We start from the raw sequence: 20,259 nt of genomic DNA on the forward strand, positions 1-20,259 counted from the left end.
CTCAGCCTCCCGAGCAGCTGGGACTACAGGCACCCGCCACCATGCCCGGCTAATTTTTTGTATTTTTAGTAGAGACGGGTTTTCACCGTGTTAGCCAGGATGGTCTCGATCTCCTGATCTTGTGATCCACCTACCTCGGCCTCCCAAAGTGCTGGAATTACAGGCGTGAGCCACTGCGCCCGGCCAGAAGAACACTTGTTAGACCAGGTTTTATGAGACCAGCATTACCTGATGCCAAAGCTTGACAAAGATAGAGTGGCAGCCCTCTGTATTCACAGGTCCTACATCCGTGGATTCAACTAACCTTGAATTGAAAATATTAAATAAATACAAAGTAACAATACAACAATAAAAATAATACAACTTAAAAAACAATACAGAATAACAACTATTTACATATCATTTTTCACAGTATTCAGTATTATAAATAATCGAGATGATTTAATGTATACAGTAGGATGTGCACATTATATGTAAAACTATACCATTTTATGTAAGGGACTTGAATATCTGTGGAGTTTGGTATCCACAGGAGGTCTTGGGACCAATCCATGGATACTGACAGATGGCTGTACATTAACACTTACAGACTAGTGTCCCTAATACTTAGAGATAAAATCTAATCAACATATAAAAAGCATAATTTATTGTGTCCAAGAGATGTTTATCCTAGGAATGCAGCGAGAATCAGTGTCATTCACTACATTAAAACAAAAGAGAAAAACCACATAATCATTTCAATAAACAATGAAAAGGCATTTGACTAAATTTGGTACCCTTCATGATTAAAAAAAAAAAACCTCTCAGCTAATAGTAGAAGAAAAGGAAAGTACTTCAATATCATAAAAGGCATCTACTAAAAAACCTAAAATTAATGTCATACTTAAATATTGAATGTTCTCCCCCTAAGATTGGAAACAAAGCAAGGATGTCAGCTCTCACCATTTTTATTCAATATTCCAATAAGACAAGAAAAAGATACAAAAGGTAAACAATGGGAATTAAGAAGTAAAACTGTCTCTAATTGCAGATAACAATTGTTTAAGGAGAACATCTTAAGGCATCTACTAAACAACTAGAATAAATGACTTTAGCAAGTTCTCAGAATAGGTCAAAATACAAACAAATTGTATTTTTATATATAACAGGAATAATCAACTGGAAAATAAAATTTAAATGAACAACACCATTTACAATAGTAGCTCAAAAAAAAGATATTTAGGAATAAATTTTCCAAAAAGCAAGCAATATCTGTATACTGAAAACTACAAAATACTGCTAAGAAAAACCAAAGAAGACCTAAAATTAGTGAAGAGATATACCATGTTCGTGGATTAGAAGATGCAGTATCATTAAGATGGCAATTCTCCCCTAATGAATCTGTAAATTCAATGCAAACCAAATCATAATTTTACCATGCTTTTTTTTAAAAAAGGAAATTGGGCTGGAGGTGATGGCTTACACCTGTAATCCCAGCACTTTGGGAGGCCTTGGTGGGAGGATCACTTTGGCTTAGGAGTTCAAGACCAGCCTTGGCAATGTAGTGAGATGCTATTTCTACAAAAAATTTTAAAATTAGCCAGACATGGTGGTGTGCACCTGTAGTCCTAGCTAACTGGGGAGCTGAGGTAGGAGGATCCCTTGAGCCCAGGAAGTCAAGGCTGCAGTGAGCTTTGATCACACCAAAGCACTTCAGTCTGGGTGACAGAGTGAAATCCTGTCTCAAAGATAAGTAAAAATTTAAAAATTGAAATTGACAGGTTGGCAAACTCACCAAGTGGTATACAGCTTTTCACATGTCAATCATACCTCAATAAAGTGGTTTAAAAAGAAGACAAGTTGATTCCAAAATTTGCACGACAATGCAGATGATCTAAATATTTAAAGTGTGCTGTCTGGGCAGTGCGGTGGCTCACGTCTGTAATCCCAGCACTTTGGGAGGCCGAGGTGGGTGGATCACAAGGTCAGGAGATGAGACCATCCTGGCCAACGTGGTGAAACCCCATCTCTACTAAAAATACAAAAATTAGCTGGTCATGGTGGCACGTGCCTGTAATCCCAGCTACTCAGGATCCTGAGGCAGGAGAATCGCTTGAACCTGGGAGGTGGAGGTTGCAATGAGCCAAGATCACACCACTGCACTCCAGCCTGGCGACAGAGCAAGACTCCGTCTCAAAAAATATATGTATATTAAAAATAAAAAATAAAGTAGTGCTTTCCTATGGAATTTTCTGTGTTAATGAAAATATTCTTTAGCTGTACCATTCAGTATGATAGCTAGCCAAATGTGACTTAAAAAGTGGCTAGAGCAACAAGAACTGTTTAGGAACTTTTAGTTTAATTTAAATGTAAATACTCTCATGTGGCTAGTGGCTATTGTGTTGAACAGTGCAGAAAGTAACCCTGAAAATGAAAGGGATTCATACTACATTATGTTGAAACTTAGTATAAAGCTACAATAATTAAGACAGCGTGCTACTGACATGAGAAAGACAGATTAGTAGAACAGAATGAGAGCTTAGAAATCAATCTACACTTAATGTGGTTTATTGATTTTTGACAAAGATGGTAAAGCAATCCAATACCACAAGGAATTTTTTAAACTAGTGGTGCTGAAGCAACTCGATATCCATATGGAATAAAATGAACCTCCAACTCCATTTCATACCATACACAAAAATTAATTCAAAATGGAACATAGACCTAAATGTAAATGAAACAAGTGAAAAGCTTCCAAAAGAAAACAGGGTAGTTGCAGCAGATTTCTTAGAGGGGCAATAAAAAGTAACCATGAAAAAAATAAGTTGATAAATTAGAAATAATTAAAATTTAAAATTTCTCATCAGGCTGGGCATGGTGGCTCATGCCTGTAATCCCAGCACTTTGGGAGGCCAAGGTGGTCAGATCGCTTGAGGTCAGGAGTTCAAGACCAGCCTGGCCAACATGGTAAAACTCCGTCTCTACTAAAAATACAAAAATTTGCCAGGTGTGGTGGCAGGCACCTGTAATCCCAGCTACTCGGGAGGCTGAGGCAGGAGAATCACTTGAACCCGGTAGACAGAGGCTGCAGTGGGCCAAGATTGCACCACTGCACTCCAGCCTGGATGACAGAGGGAGACTGTCTCAAAAATAAAAAAGAAGTTAAAATTCTTATCAAAGGCAAGACTGAGAAAATGCAAAGACAGGCCACAGACTTAAAGAAAATGTTTGCGATACGTATATCTGACAAGAGTTGATTGTCAGCATATATAAAGATCTCCTACAACTCATTGATTTAATAAGACAACCCAATTTGGAAGTGGTCAAAAGATTTGAATAGATTCTTCACAAAGAAGATATACAAATGGCCAATAACACAATATTATTAGTCATCTGGGAAATGCAAATTAAAACCAAAATGAGACATCACATCTTCCAGCATGGCTAAAAAGATTGACAGTCCCAAATGAGGCCTAGAATTGGACAGTTTGGTGGAAAAACTGAAACTCTCACACTTTGTTGGAAGTATAAAATTGTACATCCATTTTGGGAAAAGATTTGTCAATTTCTTACACAGCTGAACTTAACGACCACCATATGACCCAGCAATTCCGCTCTTAGGTAGTTACCCAAAAGAGGTGAAAACATATCCACAAAACTATTTGTACAAGAATATTCAAAGACTCTATCTAACTGTCATATAAACAAACTCATATAATCAGAAAGTGGAATTAGTGTGATTTACTTTCTCAATTTTCCTGGGTCTCAGTTTTCTAGGATGTGGGACTTCAGGTGCTAAAACCAGAAAACCCCTAAGCAAATCAGGAAGAGTTGGTCACTGTAATTATCCTCTCAGCAATAAAAACAACTAACTCCTGATAGATACATCCAAAAACAAGGATGAATCTCAGAAACATTCTGCAGAGTGAATGAAACATACAAGAGTTCATATTCTATGGTGCCACTTACATGAACTTCTAGAGCAGGTAGAACTAAGTTGTAAAAACCAAAGCAGGGGAGCATTTGTGTTTTGGGTTTGGTTGATGGAAGGGGTGTGAGGGAACTTTCTGGAATGATGATGTTCTGTATTTTGGTGGAGATTTGGGTTACATGTGTGTATACATTTGTCAAAACTCAATGACTAGTAGGTTAAGGTGTCTGCATATCTGCGTTCTAAAAGTATCTGTAAACACTATTGAACTCCAATGTTATGGATACTGAGGTGTTTAGGAGTGAGGTGTAACTCTTTTTCACTTATCAAGTGTGGAATTTCTTTAAAAGTGGTATGTAGGTGTCAGAGACCGGGAAAGGAAAATCATTCCTTGAGAATTTCTCCTGAGTTGAATTGCTTGTTCTGACTCTATTTTAGGAAGGTTTTCTTCGACTTTCGATAACACTTTCTATGTCGCTGGATCCTTATTTTTCATTTTGTAATCCTGTATTTTGTGGGGGTGAATCTTTTGTTTTCCAAATCAATGGGTGTCTTTCATTGTTTTATGTATGTAATTTGACTAGAGGTTGTTTTGTTTGTTGTATTAATTCGGCATTATTGCTTCTTTGCTCTTTTCTCACAATCTTTTTTTAAAAGCTTCTATAGTATTTACAAATTTAAACAGTTTCTCTGTATTATAGCATGTTTCTGACAGTTGTCATATTTCCCAAAGCAGTGCATATAAACTTTTGCAGTTATTTTTGAGGATGGTAATTCTTACAGCATCCTGTTTTCTTGTTCTTGTTTCCTTACTTTTCTTTAATAATACATTACTTCTAAAATTGGATCTGGATTGGTTTAGATTAACTTTTATTAACTTTTTTTGGATTCACAAAAATAAAATAGCATATTGTAGAAAATTTTAGCCTTAATTTTTAAGTTTTGCCAGTTTTATTTTCACACATACTTTTTGTGATGGTAGTGTGTTAGCTCAAAGAAGGTGCTCTGTTACTATCCCAGCATCTTTCAGGGTATCTTTTATCTTTTAGTTCTTTCTTTTCATATACCTCTAAAATGAATTGTTCTGAGGAAGTCAGTTATAATAATGGTTCTCAACCCCGCAAGAGCCCCGCAAGACCCAGTGCAGTTCTAATAACAAACATTTTTAATTACCTGTTTCTACCCTGAAATTAATGGATTTTTAACCTACCTACACACATAAAATTCAGTGTAATTGCCTTAATTGTAACATAAAGAGGAAATAAAAGGAGAGCAATTAATAAATATTTCAACATGTTACTTTTAGAGCATGATGTAATAGATGTTTGTGTTTAGACACAGAAACCATGAATGGGGCAGCTATAAATGCAGACTATTACAGGTGTGTTGCATTGGTCACTTGTATACCACAAGCAGTATTGCTGTCAATGTCATGATTTTCTGAAATATTTGAACAACTGATAAAATTCTGAAGAAAACAAAGCACAAATTTCCTTCAATTTACACATTCTATGTGTTTGTGGAAATTTGGGCCTCTATTTAAACTATGTAAATATATACTTCGTTTATATTCAAAACGGAATTAGGTTCTGACTCAGATAATTATAAACAGGTGTTTCATCTTCATGACTGTCCAGGAGGACATTAGAAAGTTATCAAGGCCAGAGGACAGTTAGCTTAGGTGGAGGATTCTCCTGTGACTTGCAAGTCATCTAGCATCCCTGGACGTTGTGCACTAAATGCCATAATTGCCCCTTAATCATTGTGACAACCAAACACAAACTTCCAAAACACTATACTGGGTGTTTCTGTGCAATGGAACTCTTTGGCAAGGATGTCACAGAGTAATTTTTTTAATGCATAAAATAAAATACATAGGATTGCAAAGAAAATGGATTGTATGGAAATACAGACCCCAGGTTAAGAATCTCTGCAAGAGGTGACTACCACACCCTTCTCCAATATACACACTCCAGTTGAGAACCACTAAGTTGGAAGGGCTTTTTATGTTGAGGGAAATGGTGAAAGCCATAGTCTTAAAATTTTAAGGATTTGAAAGTACATATGGGTGCCCAGAACATTTGCCATCAACACTGTAGCATCAATAGGGGACTAACAAGCACTCTGTAATAGAATCTAAAAGAATGAAAGCAAATAGCATAGGAACTCTATTTCTATTCTAATTTTGTATCAGAAATTAAGTGTATCAAATGAACTAATGCTTCTATTTTCCATTCTTTTCTCATTATGACTAAACTACCTCTTTGATTAACATCAATTAAAGTTCAGATCTTTTGCCAACTTGTTTATTCATATATTACAAGGCAACCTTGGCAGAACAAAATCTTTCTCCAGCTGCTATTTGGCAAGTTGGCAAAAAAAAAAAAAAAACTTACACATATTAAACACAAGCAGTTCTAGGAATAGGAATTGAAAAGCAAGATAATCAAGAGTTTATTTCAACAGGTACTCAGTGCTTTGTAGGAGTGCATTGCAAGAGGTGACCATATTGTATGTACATGAATAGCTTGTCGTGACAAATGTGTAGAATACTAAAGATGATGATTTTTATTTGTTTTAGGGTATGTCTCTGTGCCAGACTGTCGTCGTGGGCTCTGTAGTCATTCTTCTGTACTCTTCCAGAGCTTGTTATAATTTGGTGGTGGTCACCATATCTCAGGATACATTAGAAAGTCCATTTAATTATGGCTGGGATAATCTTTCAGATAAGGTAAATACCTACCACGTATTGCCAGTCTAACAATGTGATAATTAACTTACCCTCATCTAGAAGAACACTGTAGTGTTTGACTTACAAACACATTTATGGAATCTCTGTCTACTGTCAGTAATCATACTTAAAGCTTTGTGTTTAAAAATCTTTATGTACGTGTGACATTTGAAATCATTCTTCACAGAGAACTTCTCTCAAAGGAGTATTTTCTCTCTCTTTTTTGGTAAATAATAATAGTGCCACAAGCCTCTCGGTCATATGCTAATTTTACTTATTTTTGTTAATGATGATGTTTAAATATTTCTAGATAAATGAATTCCCTATTATTAGCCAGTGAATATGGTCTTTGTTAGGAGGAAAGTAACTCTCCCCTACCCAAGAACTACATATACTCTTAATATTTGGTTCAGGTTAACATGTTTAAATAATGGCTTTCATAAAAATCTGGCTTTGTCAGTCTTGATAATGGGAGAGCATTCGTAGTTCCTTGGGTGTCCAGGTATTTGCTATCGTAATTCCCAGTACTCTAACTACGCATATTTAACTTCCTAGCATTCCCATATGCTTCCTAAACATACATTTTGACATAGCTATATGTCATATCTTTATAGTAATTTAGCTTTGTACTGAATTTAAGGGTTCCGGGAATACTATTTTTCATTTACCTTTCTAAAGTGAAGGAATTTTCACATGTGGTTCCTTGTGGCAGATTCTATTCACTCCTTTTTCCATTTCCCTCTTCCAACATCTGATAGAACAGAAACAAATTTAATATGTAGATTAGGTCCAAAAGCATATTTTAAGTAGAGCTGAGCTGAGTGACTTAACATGTTACATTTTTCTATAGGTGTAATTAGGGTAAGTGCTGTTATTTTGCCTATGGAGCAGCTGGAACAGTAATGTCTTTAAAAGTCACTCTCTTTAGATTATGGGGCCTAAATAGGAGATCACTCCTTATTATCCATATATTAAAATTGTCATAAACTGATACATTGAAAAAATTAACTGCTTTTTATTTTTTGTAGCTTCAAAGCATTTTATGTCCTTTAAAGGATAAGTGTCATTTCATGAGAAACCACAAAATATAGAAAGTTTTAGAGTTTATGTGCTTGTAGTTGATATATTTTATCTTACCTGACTTGAAACAAGTTAACTGTGGAGGTGATTGCTTATACAATAAACAGATGTAAAAATTCTCTGCCATGCTCTATTTACAGGCTCATGTAGAAGACATAAGTGGAGAAGAGTATATAGTATTTGGAATGGTCCTCTTTCTGTGGGAACATGTGCCAGCATGGTCGGTGGTACTGTTTTTCCGGGCACAGAGATTAAACCAGAATTTGGTATGATATAATATTCCCCAATGCCTGTTCTCCTATTTTTAAAAATTATGGAACATTTATATTGATTTTCTATTTTTGGCAAAGGTTAAGACTAAAAATTATTATAGATTCTAGCCTCCTTTCTTAGTGGAAAAGTAAAACCTTCATATGCTATCTAATACTTTGTTCACAGGCACCTGCTGGCATGATAAATAGTCACAGTTATAGTTCCAGAGCTTACTTTTTCGACAATCCAAGACGATATGATAGTGATGATGACCTGCCAAGACTGGGAAGTTCAAGAGAAGGAAGGTAGATGTAACAAAGCCACTTAGCCTGAATTACTATTGAAATTGATTGAAAAAAACAAATCTAAGCTTTAACCAAAATATGAAAAAAGGTGATTTAGTGGTAATATGTCAATAAATAAGATCGGCAATACTGGAGTTTAAAGCAGTAGATGTTAAACCCAGGGTGGGACCTGCATTATCAGGAACTACCATTTGACTCAAAGCCTATATGCCTTTTGGCTAAAATGGTACCATTTCATTTCGGGATCACTTGTTGGTTCAGAGCTGTTTGTGGGAGGGGGATGCACAAGGAAGAAATACTATTATAGTGATTATATGTCTGTTTCCATATCTTTAGTGCTGGTCAAAATCCAGAGAAACCCTAGATAAAACTCTTGGGAAGCTTAATTGCCATAGGAAATGTTCCCATGCCCTCCTTGTTACAAAACCATTTCAAGTCCGTAACTAGTACACTATTGACTGTGATTCGGGCAAAGAGGAAAGCTTAATGGCTGAAGCCATGAAGCATAATGGCTTCAGCTTGATATGACATTTTCTGTAATCCTAACTTCATCTGGGCAAGTTATATAACCTCAGTTTTTTGAACCTGCTTTTCATCTGTAAGACAGGGATAATAGAACCTATTTCAGAGGTTTGTTGTGAGAAATGAATGTATATGTGTGTCTGCATACATACATACATACATACATAGATGTCTTAGAATAGAGCTGAGTACATAAGGACTACATTGTTGTCATCTGACAATCAAGTTCTACCAGTTCTGAGTGGCATTTATTCATTCTTTTGTAACATACTGCGATATAGAATCCAGGATATTAGATAAAAGTCATTAAATTTGTAGAAAAGCATTTTGTTATTTGACAAAGAACATATTTCAATGTATTTGAGTGCTAACTTTATTACAAAATTCATTGAAAATGCTAAAAATTCAAATGTGACTTCTTATATCCTGATCATAGTCCTATGGTCTTTTTGCCTTTTTTTTGTTGCAGTTTACCAAATTCGCAAAGTTTGGGCTGGTATGGCACCATGACTGGGTGTGGCAGCAGCAGTTACACAGTCACTCCCCACCTGAATGGACCTATGACAGATACTGCTCCTTTGCTCTTTACTTGTAGTAATTTAGATTTGAACAATCATCATAGCTTATATGTGACACCACAAAACTGACAGCATCACCAAGTCATGATTCTTGAGTTGTTTTTCATAAATGTGTATATTCAATGTGTTTAAATTCCATCTACATAAACATTCCATTATCTGTTGCAACTGAAAACAAAATCTGGAAGTGTGGCTGTGTTTGGTAAATAACACAGCTATTATTTTTGACCTCTTCATAGTAAAATGAAGTAAAATGGAAAGTTTGGAGTAGGAGAAAAGAGAGATTAGATCTTAAGGCACTTGATGGCCTCCAAAAATCCTGACTTTGGAACATCAAATGCATATGTGCACTTTTATCTTTGTTCTGAGTCACTGCAGTCCCCAAAGTCATATGCCAATGTTCACACTGAAATACTGTATTGTACACCAAACTGGAAGGCAATTTTCCTATGAAAATCAAAGCCGGTATATTCATTGGTATGCTCTATACAGATATCTTAATAAAAATTTTATAGTGTGAACAGTGCACAGAGTTAAGGCATAAAAATGTATCATTCTTTATAAAAATCTACTGAAAATGTGTAATCATTGAAGACAGTTCTTTTAAGCATGATTTTAAAATAGCAACTGAAATTCAATCATTTTAAACAAATGATGGTAGTAATCCATTAGTTATGGCCAGCAGTGTTCTTTGGAGAGCCACAATAATTTCAAGAGGAAAATATACCAGTGAAAATTGTGTGGCTATTTTGAGTAGAATTGGTCAGTTGATTATTTTGTGTAATTGAGATATATGTAGTAGTTTAAGCATGATTCTTGAAGAAAGCAATAGTGACTTTTGCATAGGGAGATTTTGGTAGAAACTTCTTGGGACTAAACAAGTTTAGAGATGCATTTAAGAATTATTCACAAAATGTGTAATTCTAAATTAAAACATAAATATATTTTCAAAAGCATTTGATTTCTCTGAAGCATGATATAGCTGGTCTTACCTAGTGAATCAGGATTGTCCTCAGGTAAATGAAATCATGATACATTATTGCAGTGAACTCAAGTGCAATACTTTGTAAGACATATAATTCCTATGATTTTCACATTTTTATATCTTATATATGGGAAAAGCCAAATTAAATTGAATTCAGATTAATTCCAGCATTAGACTAAATGAGCAAACTTAAGTAAATGTACAAACTAGGTAAGTATAAAACCACAGGTTAACAATATTGGAGTACTTTTAGAATTACATTAAAACTGTCTTAAATGTCCTATCCCAAATCTAAAAAAAAAGAAAATGGCAGGCTGAGATAATACAGAATTTTAAAATGCACTTTGTACCAGTGTCTATATGGAAAGAAGTAGATGCTGAATACCTCAAGATGCCAAGGGAACAAGCAACATTGGGAAGTTGTCACAACATGCTCAAAGACAAACTACAATTGTCTGCTAGCTATTTCTTCAGAACTGGAACTAATACGACTATCCTTTTCTGTTTTATACTTTGATTAGAATGTTATTTCCTCGCTTACTTAAAATGTACTTCAACTTTTTAACAACTGATACAATAACTTCATAAAAGTATAACACTAGGTTGAAACCTTAAGGAAAAATTGAAATTGTTAATGCTTTCGATCTTTTGGGAGGCCAGTACACAGACAAATAAATTTCTTCTTTTTATGATACAAAATGACTTTGTATTCAATCAGAAGCATATACTTATGTTATTTTGGGTTTGTTTATAATTCTCTCATTGTAACCAAATTATTTTAAAATGTATAGTATAAAAAGTTACCCGTGGTATTAAGTGACAAAAGCGTACTTTTATTACAACTCCAGTTGTTAGATTGCTTCTCAGAATGCTAACTGTTTATTTTGCTAATAATGTTAGGCATCTAATCATCTAGAGCTGTCCAAAAAGATATGTTGTCTTTGTTAATCCTTGGGGTTCAAGGTGATAAAGTTTTTCTAGTAAGGCTCCCCTCGATAATGTTCCTATTTGACCAAACTAACAAAGATTACTTTTTAAAAATTTTTCAGATAAAATAACTTGGTTCTTTCTGCTGCATTAGTTGATTGTTCCAAATTTGAGGTTTGTAAGTTTATTCTTATCACTGACTAGGGTACCCAAATTCTTGCATTTGTCTCCTTATACACATCTAACATATCACCAAAGACAAATAAAGATACACTCTGGCCCAATCTTTGCTTAAAAATTCCAAAGCACTAGGAGCACTTTAAGTTTGGTCTCGAAAGGAGTTGTTTATAAAATCAAAGGGCTACCGATTCCCTGTTCATCCTGCACTGAAGCACATGATGACAGTATCAAACCTTCATTTTTGTTCATTAAAAAGTGAATTTCATTACTTAAGTGTGTAATTCTATAGTGATTAGCAGTATTTGTTTTCATCATTTCACTTGGGTGGCCATTAATTTTGAAACCTTTACCACTCATTGTAGTTGGTTGTAGTTTTATGGAAAATGTAATTTATAGCTAAAGTGGCTTTTTTATGCATAGCTGCCTTTTTTATTGTTTAACAGTGTTTCTCAGCTATATAATCAGTTTCAAACTGGTTGTAAAAGTATAGCTGTGGCCAATGAATGTATTTATTTGTTGTTTCACTAAATTGTAACAAAACACTACTATTAAAAATAAAAGTGTTTGTGCTTTTATTTAGAGTTCTGGTTTTCTTCATCTCTTATAATGGACTATACTGAGTTTCTATCATATAAGAATAAGAACATAGTGCTACCACAAAAAAAAAAAAAATCAGGAGTTACAAATGATAGTTCGCCTTTAGTGATCTCATAATTACTTACATCTGGATGTCATATTGCTCCACATACACCAGTTTGACATGAAGTGCCATGCAGTTTAAAATGCCAATACGTTATTAGATAGTACAACATTTTTATTTTTATTTTTTAAGGGTTTTTTTTTAATACTTTAAGTTTTAGGGTACATGTGCACAATGTGCAGGTTAGTTACATATGTATACATGTGCCATGCTGGTGTGCTGCACCCATTAACTCATCATTTAGCATTAGGTATATCTCCTAAAGCTATCCCTCCCCCCTCCCCCCACCCCACAACAGTCCCCAGAGTGTGATGTTCCCCTTCCTGTGTCCATGTGTTCTCATTGTTCAATTCCCACCTATGAGTGAGAACATGCAGTGTTTGGTTTTTTGTTCTTGCGATAGTTTACTGAGAATGATTATTTCCAATTTCATCCATGTCCCTACAAAGGACATGAACTCATCATTTTTTATGGCTGCATAGTATTCCATGGTGTATATGTGCCACATTTTCTTAATCCAGTCTATCATTGTTGGACATTTGGGTTGCTTCCAAGTCTTTGCTATTGTGGATAGTGCCGCATTAAATGTACGTGTGCATGTGTCTTTATAGCAGCATGATTTATAGTCCTTTGGGTATATACCCAGTAATGGGATGGCTGGGTCAAATGGTATTTCTAGTTCTAGATCCCTGAGGAATCGCCACACTGACTTCCACAATGGTTGAACTAGTTTACAGTCCCACCAACAGTGTAAAAGTGTTCCTATTTCTCCACATCCTCTCCAGCACCTGTTGTTTCCTGACTTTTTAATGATTGCCATTCTAACTGGTGTGAGATGGTGTCTCATTGTGGTTTTGATTTGCATTTCTCTGATGGCCAGTGATGGTGAGCATTTTTTCATGTGTTTTTTGGCTGCATAAATGTCTTCTTTTGAGAAGTGTCTGTTCATGTCCTTCACCCACTTTTTGATGGGGTTGTTTGTTTTTTTCTTGTAAATTTGTTTGAGTTCATTGTAGATTCTGGATATTAGCCTTTGTCAGATGAGTAGGTTGCGAAAATTTTCTCCCATTTTGTAGGTTGCCTGTTCACTCTGATGGTAGTTTCTTTTGCTGTGCAGAAGCTCTTTAGTTTAATTAGATCCCATTTGTCAATTTTGGCTTTTGTTGCCATTGCTTTTGGTGTTTTAGACATGAAGTCCTTGCCCATGCCTATGTCCTGAATGGTAATGCCTAGGTTTTCTTCTAGGGTTTTTATGGTTTTGGGTCTAACGTTTAAGTCTTTAATCCATCTTGAATTAATTTTTGTATAAGGTGTAAGGAAGGGAGCCATTTTCAGCTTTCTACATATGGCTAGCCAGTTTTCCCAGCACCATTTATTAAATAGGGAATCCTTTTCCCATTGCTTGTTTTTCTCAGGTTTGTCAAAGATCAGATAGTTGTAGATATGCGGCGTTATTTCTGAGGGCTCTGTTCTGTTCCATTGATCTATATCTCTGGACCTCTTCAAGGAGAACTACAAACCACTGCTCAATGAAATAAAAGAGGATCCAAACAAATGGAAGAACATTCCATGCTCATGGGTAGGAAGAATCAATATCATGAAAATGGCCATACTGCCCAAGGTAATTTATAGATTCAATGCCATCCCCATCAAGCTACCAATGTCTTTCTTCACAGAATTGGAAAAAACTACTTTAAAGTTCATATGGAACCAAAAAAGAGCCCGCATCGCCAAGTCAATCCTAAGCCAAAAGAACAAAGCTGGAGGCATCACGCTACCTGACTTCAAACTATACTACAAGGCTACAGTAACCAAAACAGCATGGTACTGGTACCAACATTTTTATTTATTCAAACATTAAGCTAAGAAAAATTGTTGTATGAAATAATTTATAACACTTCTCCCCTTCCCTTCAGAATCTTAAACAGGAATCCATTTATCTACCTTATAATCCTAGGAAGGTATTATTTGATTATTCAAGAAATTCCTCAATGATGCTGCCTTTTCCCATGAAAGAAGTTCCTTTTTTTCCCCGAATAGACCCCTTTCATGACCCACCAAAAACCACACCAAATCTTGAATACAATTTCAGCTTTATTGACCCCCTAAAGTCTACAAATCCTTGGGACTCTACTGACCCTTGCTGTAAAGTGAAGGGAGTGAAAGTATTTGGAATATAGGTAGGACCTCTAATATAATAAAGATGTCACTTTAAAATCAATTTATTCAACAAACATTTATTAAACATTCATATGCCAAAAACTATGCTATGGAGATGCAAAAAATAAAAAGGTTCCTTTTCCTGCCCTTAAGGAGCTCACATTCTAGTAAAGACTTTTGAAAAATAAAACAATACAGTACGATTTAAGTGACATACAATAGAGGTAGGTTGTAATTACAGTGGTGACACGAAAGTGGAAGTTAGATGACTCTCCTTGAGTGGAGCAAAGGAGGTTTCACAGAGGAAATGCTTATGTCAGGCCTGCAAGATGCATAGGAATTTTCCAAGTGGGGAAGGATGACTAGCATACTTGATGCAAAGAGTACAGCATTTACCAAGGCGGGAGGCCTGGCCAAATGTGGCTTCTGAAGAAGTGTAAGTCTGTTTCACCAGAACATTCGGTGGAGGAAACACATCAGAAGACCTTGTACACCAAACAGAGGAGTTTGGCTTTCTCCTGAAAGTTCCTGAAGTCACTGAAGGATATTAGGGAGTAACACTGTCAGAGTGCTTCTAGAAAGCCTGCTGTGGTAACATTGAGCAACAGAGAGGAGACCAGCTAGGTATAGGAGGCAGGTTAGTACTGTAGGTATTTATTAATAATAGCAATGAAGATGAAAGAGTGATGTATCAGAGAGGTGGAGATAAAATCAGTAAAACTTAGACACTAAATGATAGGGGAAGGTGGAGGAGAGGAATGAGCCTAGAAAACTTAGAATATAATGGTTCTAAAATTAACCAAAGTAAGGGACACAGGCATTAGAGTAGGTTTTGCAGAGAATGAATGTTTTAAGACACACACAGGTGTCTCTGGGACAACCAAGAAAAGTGCAACAGGCAGATGGATTGAGGAGTCTGGCTAAAGATAAGGATTTAGGAACTGCTGAATTAAAATTACCCAAGCGTGAGAAGTGGTGTTGTGATTAAGAGAGAAAAAAAAAATGGAGGTCTGAGGAATAACATTTAAGGAATAAATGAAGAGGCCAAAAGGTGGGGGGTGGTTCAGGAGTGAGCAAAATGTAAGAAGTCAAGGGAATAAATCTTTAAAGTAGGGGTTGTCAAAAATGTCAAATACAGAAAAAAAGTCAAGTACTAGCTTGTGAATTAAACTGTGGATTTAGAATTAAGATTTTAGACTTTACAGGAAGGGACTGTTAACCAGAGAGCCAAATGGCAGATTTTAGTTAAGGAGCCAGTAGAAGGTGACAAAGTAGAGGTAAGAATATTCCTTCAAAAAGATTGGCAGCTAAAAAAAAAAGAGGCCGGGCGTGGTGGCTCACGCCTGTAATCCCAGCACTTTGGGAGGTCGAGGTGGGTGGATCACGAGGTCAGGAGATCAAGACCATCCTGGCTAACACGGTGAAACACTGCCTCTACTAAAAATACAAAAAAAAAAAAAAAAAAATTAGCCGGGCGTGGTGGCGGGCGCCTGTAGTCCCAGCTACTCAGGGGGCTGAGGCAGAAGAATGGCGTGAACCTGGAAGGCAGAGCTTGCAGTGAGCTAAGATCACGCCACTGCACTCCAACCTGGGCGACACAGCAAGACTCCGTCTCCAAAAAATAAAAATAAAAAAAGGAAGGGAAGCATAAGATGAGAGAGAGGGACACACAAAAAATGGCCATTTGAACCCACACTGTATTTATATTTTATATAGAGTGATCACTTCATAGTCTTTTGAGTCTCCAAGAGGATTGACTTAATTAATGGTTTAATGTCTTTCCTTTCCTGCCTTAGAGAAAAAGGAAGTGACAGAGAAAAATAGGACAAATTATTAAACTTACTTCTGTGATTATTCATTTAAAATATACTGAATACATATGCATACATTCATCCAACAAATATTTATTGGATACCAAGTATGTGCTTGGCACTGTACCAGGCCTTAGGGACACAGAAGAAGAAGTATACAGCAGTGTAAACTGACATTTCTTAACCACTATATAAATAAACCCCACTTTACTACTAATGTGACATTTCAACATGTTATACCTGATAAGACATATGTAAAGAGGGCACGATTTTGAGGTATATAGCTTCTTTTTCTCTACAATTACCATGTGATATAAATTCCTAAACCCCTTCAAATAGCTTTATAAATGAAGAGCTTCCACTAATGAAAACCTCCCAAAATTACAGTTCAGTTTTAGGGAGACAAAGGAAATGAACTTCGGGTATAAAAAACAAAAATGAAACTGGGTATGGTGGCAGACACCTGTATTCCCAGCTACTTGGGAGGCTGAGGTGGGAAGATCACTTCAGCCCAGTCGTTCAAGTTCCAGCTTGGGCAACACAGCAAAACCTTGTCTCTAAAAAAAATTTTAATAAAATAAATAGCCTACCCTATTACTATACACATCAAGCATAAAACGGGCAACAAAACTCAAAAAGAACTTTAGATTGGAACTTGAAAGTATTATTTATTCTAAGGCTTACAGTATTATAGTTCCAGAATTGTGGGAGTTTTTTTTTCTGAGAAAATCATTTTTAGTAATTATTCAGTATTACACACTGAAGTATTTAGGGTTTAAGGGGCATGATGCCTATAACTGACTTTCAAATGATTGAGGAAAAATTTGTGTGTGTGTGTGTGTGTACAGAGAAAGCATGAAAGATAAAGCACGTATGAACAATTAGTGAATCTGGGTAAGAGAGCTCTTTGTACTATTTTTGAAACTTTTCTGTAAATTGGAAATTATATAAAAATAAAAAGTGTTCCCCAAATTTTATTTAGTATTAGTGAAAGTATTATGAGAATAAATATATAATCTATTCAACTTTTCACAATGTTTAGAAATCTCCTGTGCCTTTGAGTTGTTATTGTACGTTTCTACACACAAAAACAACCCAATCAAAATAGCAATATACTTCTAAAAGTGATTTGTTTCATACCAATGTATTTTAGGATTGCCAGATAAAATACAAGACTCCCAGTTAAATTTGAATTTCAAACAAATAATTTTTTAGTATAAGTATTTTCCAAATATTCCATGTAAAATATTAAAAAACTAATTGTTTATCTGAAATTCAAATCTAACTGGGCAATCTTTATTTTTATTTGCTAAATCCAGCAACCCTAAATGTACTGAAAAATTCTACGTTGGTAATTATGGGTCATTTATGAGGCCTCCTTAGCATTTTCCTATTAAATGCTTGTCACATTTACCATAGTTTTATTTATATTACATATTATTACATAAAACGCTAGTTTGAGAGACTTAGAACATTCACTTTTATCATATATGAATTTGATAATCCTCCTTTTATTCAATATTAAACTTTAAAATTTGTACCACATTATTAAAGTATTACTTTTACTCACAGTAGTATTATACATAGACTTAACACAATTTTTAAAAATGTGTTTACTTAAAACAATATAATTCTCCTTTACAAAAGCAACTTTATATAAAATGTTTGGCTTAAGACTGTCATTGCTATTATGCCTTTGAATGAAATTCCACTCTTTCGCCTCCATTGTCCAGAAACAGGCACATATCAGCTTGTTTTCTTTAATGAATATTCTGTAACAAGTTCCTGAAGTTTTCTAATTCTTTCACACTTGTAGAAATTCTGTAACCAAAAAATATTTCACTCAGAAACCATCTTAGATAAATTTTATCTGTAAAAGTTATTCACTTTGCATTTTAAAACATTTTTAAAGTAATTTATTTCAATAAATTTAAGGTGCATAAACCATTTAATGTATTTTAATATATTTTAGTTCTTAATTCGACAAGGTAAAACTAAGATATTAATGTCTAGAAATTAGTTATTTTAAAAGTATTTAAATACATATGCCAGGTGCAGTGATTCACTCCTGTAATCCCAGTATTTTTTGAGGCCAAGACGGGAGAACTACTTGAGGCCAGGAATTGGAGAACAGCCTGGACAACACAGGGAGACCTGGTCTCTACAAAAAAAAATTAAAAATTGCCAGGCATGGCTGTGTGTGCCATGTAGTCGTAGCTACTTGGAAACCCGAGGTAGGAGAACTGCTTGAGCCCAGAAGTTCAAGGTTACAGTGAGCTATGATCATGCCACTGCACTCCAGCCTGGGCAACATAGCCAGATCCTATCTCTAAAAAATCAAATTCTTTTAAATAAATAAAATAGCCAGGTGCAGTAGCTCATGTCTGTAATCCCAGCGCTTTGGGAGGCCAAGGCGAGCAGACCACTTGAGTCCAGGAGTTTGAGACCAGCAAGGGCAATGTGGCAAAACCTTCTCTCTATGAAAAACAAGAAAATTAGCCAGGCATGGTGGCGTGTGCCTGTATCCCAGCTACTCAGGAGACTAAGGTGGGAGAATCTATTGAGCCTGGGAGGCAGAGGTTTCCGTAAACTGAGATCACGTCGGTCAATCAATCAATCAAATACATAAGTATGAGATACATAAATATTAAAATACTTCTATATTTTAAGCATTCATAAGTATACTCCCTTAATATTAAAGTATATAGTATTTGGTATAAAATATGTAAGTATACAAATAATACAATATTTAGGTATAAGTATTCATAAAAGTATTCGTATGCTTAATATTAAAGTACGTAAGTATAAAGTATATAAACACAGAAATATCATTTTTAAATGCATAAGTATATGAATACTTAAAATACACCATATTTAGTAAATGTAGAAAGAATCAATGCTATTGGCCTATAAAGAGTAAGAGTATTAAACGTATGACTACACTGTTTTCACTAATTTTTGTAAAGTAAATTTTGTTCCTTATTTTAAGTGCACTTAGCTCTGCTCTCGATCATGAAAAAAACAGAATAATCAATGAAATATTAACTATCTAGCCCTTGGATGCTAGAGACACAATTTTGAAGGTCAATTATTTCAAGCCCAAAATTGTAATATTTTTTAAATGAGGAAATGTAGTCCTTTAAAAAATGTTAATTTTTATAAATCTCAGCATTTCTTGCATGATAGGCCAGAAGGAAATGCATCTGTACTTAAATATTTTAATGTAAGTTCCTTATTTCATGCTTTTCTTTAATCATTTTGATAGGAAATAATTATTTTTAAAAGAATTATTAACCTTTTTATATAATGGTGAGTTCACAAAGAGATTTACATGTACACCTATGTTAAACAACATGATTTTTCTACCACTATCAGAAAAATAATTGGATAAAAAAACTGCTTTTAAGCAATTTTTAATGTACAAATTCGATAAGATGAATATTAAAATTCAATGAGTAATTATAATTATGATTTTATACATACATATACACACTTTTTTTTTTTTTTTTTTGAGATGATGTCTTGCTCTGTCACCCTGGCTGGAGTGCAGTGGTATGATCTCGGCTCACTGCAACCTCTGCCTCCCGGGTTCAAGCGATTCTTCTGCCTCAGCCTCCTGAGTAGCTGGGACCACAGGCATGCTCCACCATGCCTGGCTAATTTTTTTTGATTTTAGTAGAGTTGGCCAGGCTGGTCTTGAACTCCTGGCCTCAAGTGATCCACCCACCTTGGCTTCTCAAAGTGCTAGGATTACAGGCATGAGCCACCGTGCCCGGCCCTAATTATGATTATAAAAGTCAATAGAGGAAAATAAAGACGATCATGTACTAATTGTATATGTCTACATACTGGAGGTATTTCATAATATCCCATAATTCTGTAATGAAATGATTTCTTCAAAAAAAATATTCCTGGCTGGGCACAGTGGCTCACGCCTGTAATCCAGCACTTCGGGAGGTGGAGCCTGGCAGATCACCTGAGGTCAGGAGTTCAAGACCAGCCTGGCCAACATGGTGAAACCGTGTTTCTACTAAAAATACACACACACACACACACACACACACACACACACACAAATTAGCCAGGCGTGGTGTCACGCACCTGTAATCCCAGCTACT

General features: G+C 35.3%; 2 protein-coding genes across 18 annotated transcripts in view; one reads left to right on the plus strand and one right to left on the minus strand.

Moving 5' to 3' along the window:
• The window catches only part of GPR137C (G protein-coupled receptor 137C), an 84,878-nt gene extending 72,833 nt beyond the window's left edge, over window positions 1–12,045 (plus strand). For all 4 annotated transcript variants that reach the window (NR_148417.2, NM_001353361.2, NM_001099652.2 and 1 more), the window contains 4 exons: window positions 6,492–6,641; window positions 7,862–7,987; window positions 8,160–8,278; window positions 9,270–12,045. Coding sequence is in view for 3 of the 4 variants with exons in the window: in NM_001353361.2 (NP_001340290.1) it covers window positions 6,492–6,641; window positions 7,862–7,987; window positions 8,160–8,278; window positions 9,270–9,447 (573 nt within the window). In the remaining variant the exon portion in view is untranslated. The remainder of the gene's footprint in view (window positions 1–6,491; window positions 6,642–7,861; window positions 7,988–8,159; window positions 8,279–9,269) is intronic.
• Window positions 12,046–14,246: 2,201 nt separating this feature from the next.
• The window catches only part of ERO1A (endoplasmic reticulum oxidoreductase 1 alpha), a 55,644-nt gene continuing 49,631 nt past the window's right edge, over window positions 14,247–20,259 (minus strand). For all 14 annotated transcript variants that reach the window (NM_001382474.1, NM_001382471.1, NM_001382475.1 and 11 more), the window contains one exon: window positions 14,247–17,962. In NM_001382474.1, coding sequence (NP_001369403.1) covers window positions 17,902–17,962 — 61 coding nt within the window. In that variant the 3' untranslated portion in view covers window positions 14,247–17,901. The remainder of the gene's footprint in view (window positions 17,963–20,259) is intronic.

The sequence above is a fragment of the Homo sapiens genome, chromosome 14, assembly GCF_000001405.40.
Source record: "Homo sapiens chromosome 14, GRCh38.p14 Primary Assembly".
Classification (NCBI taxonomy): Eukaryota; Metazoa; Chordata; class Mammalia; order Primates; family Hominidae; genus Homo; species Homo sapiens.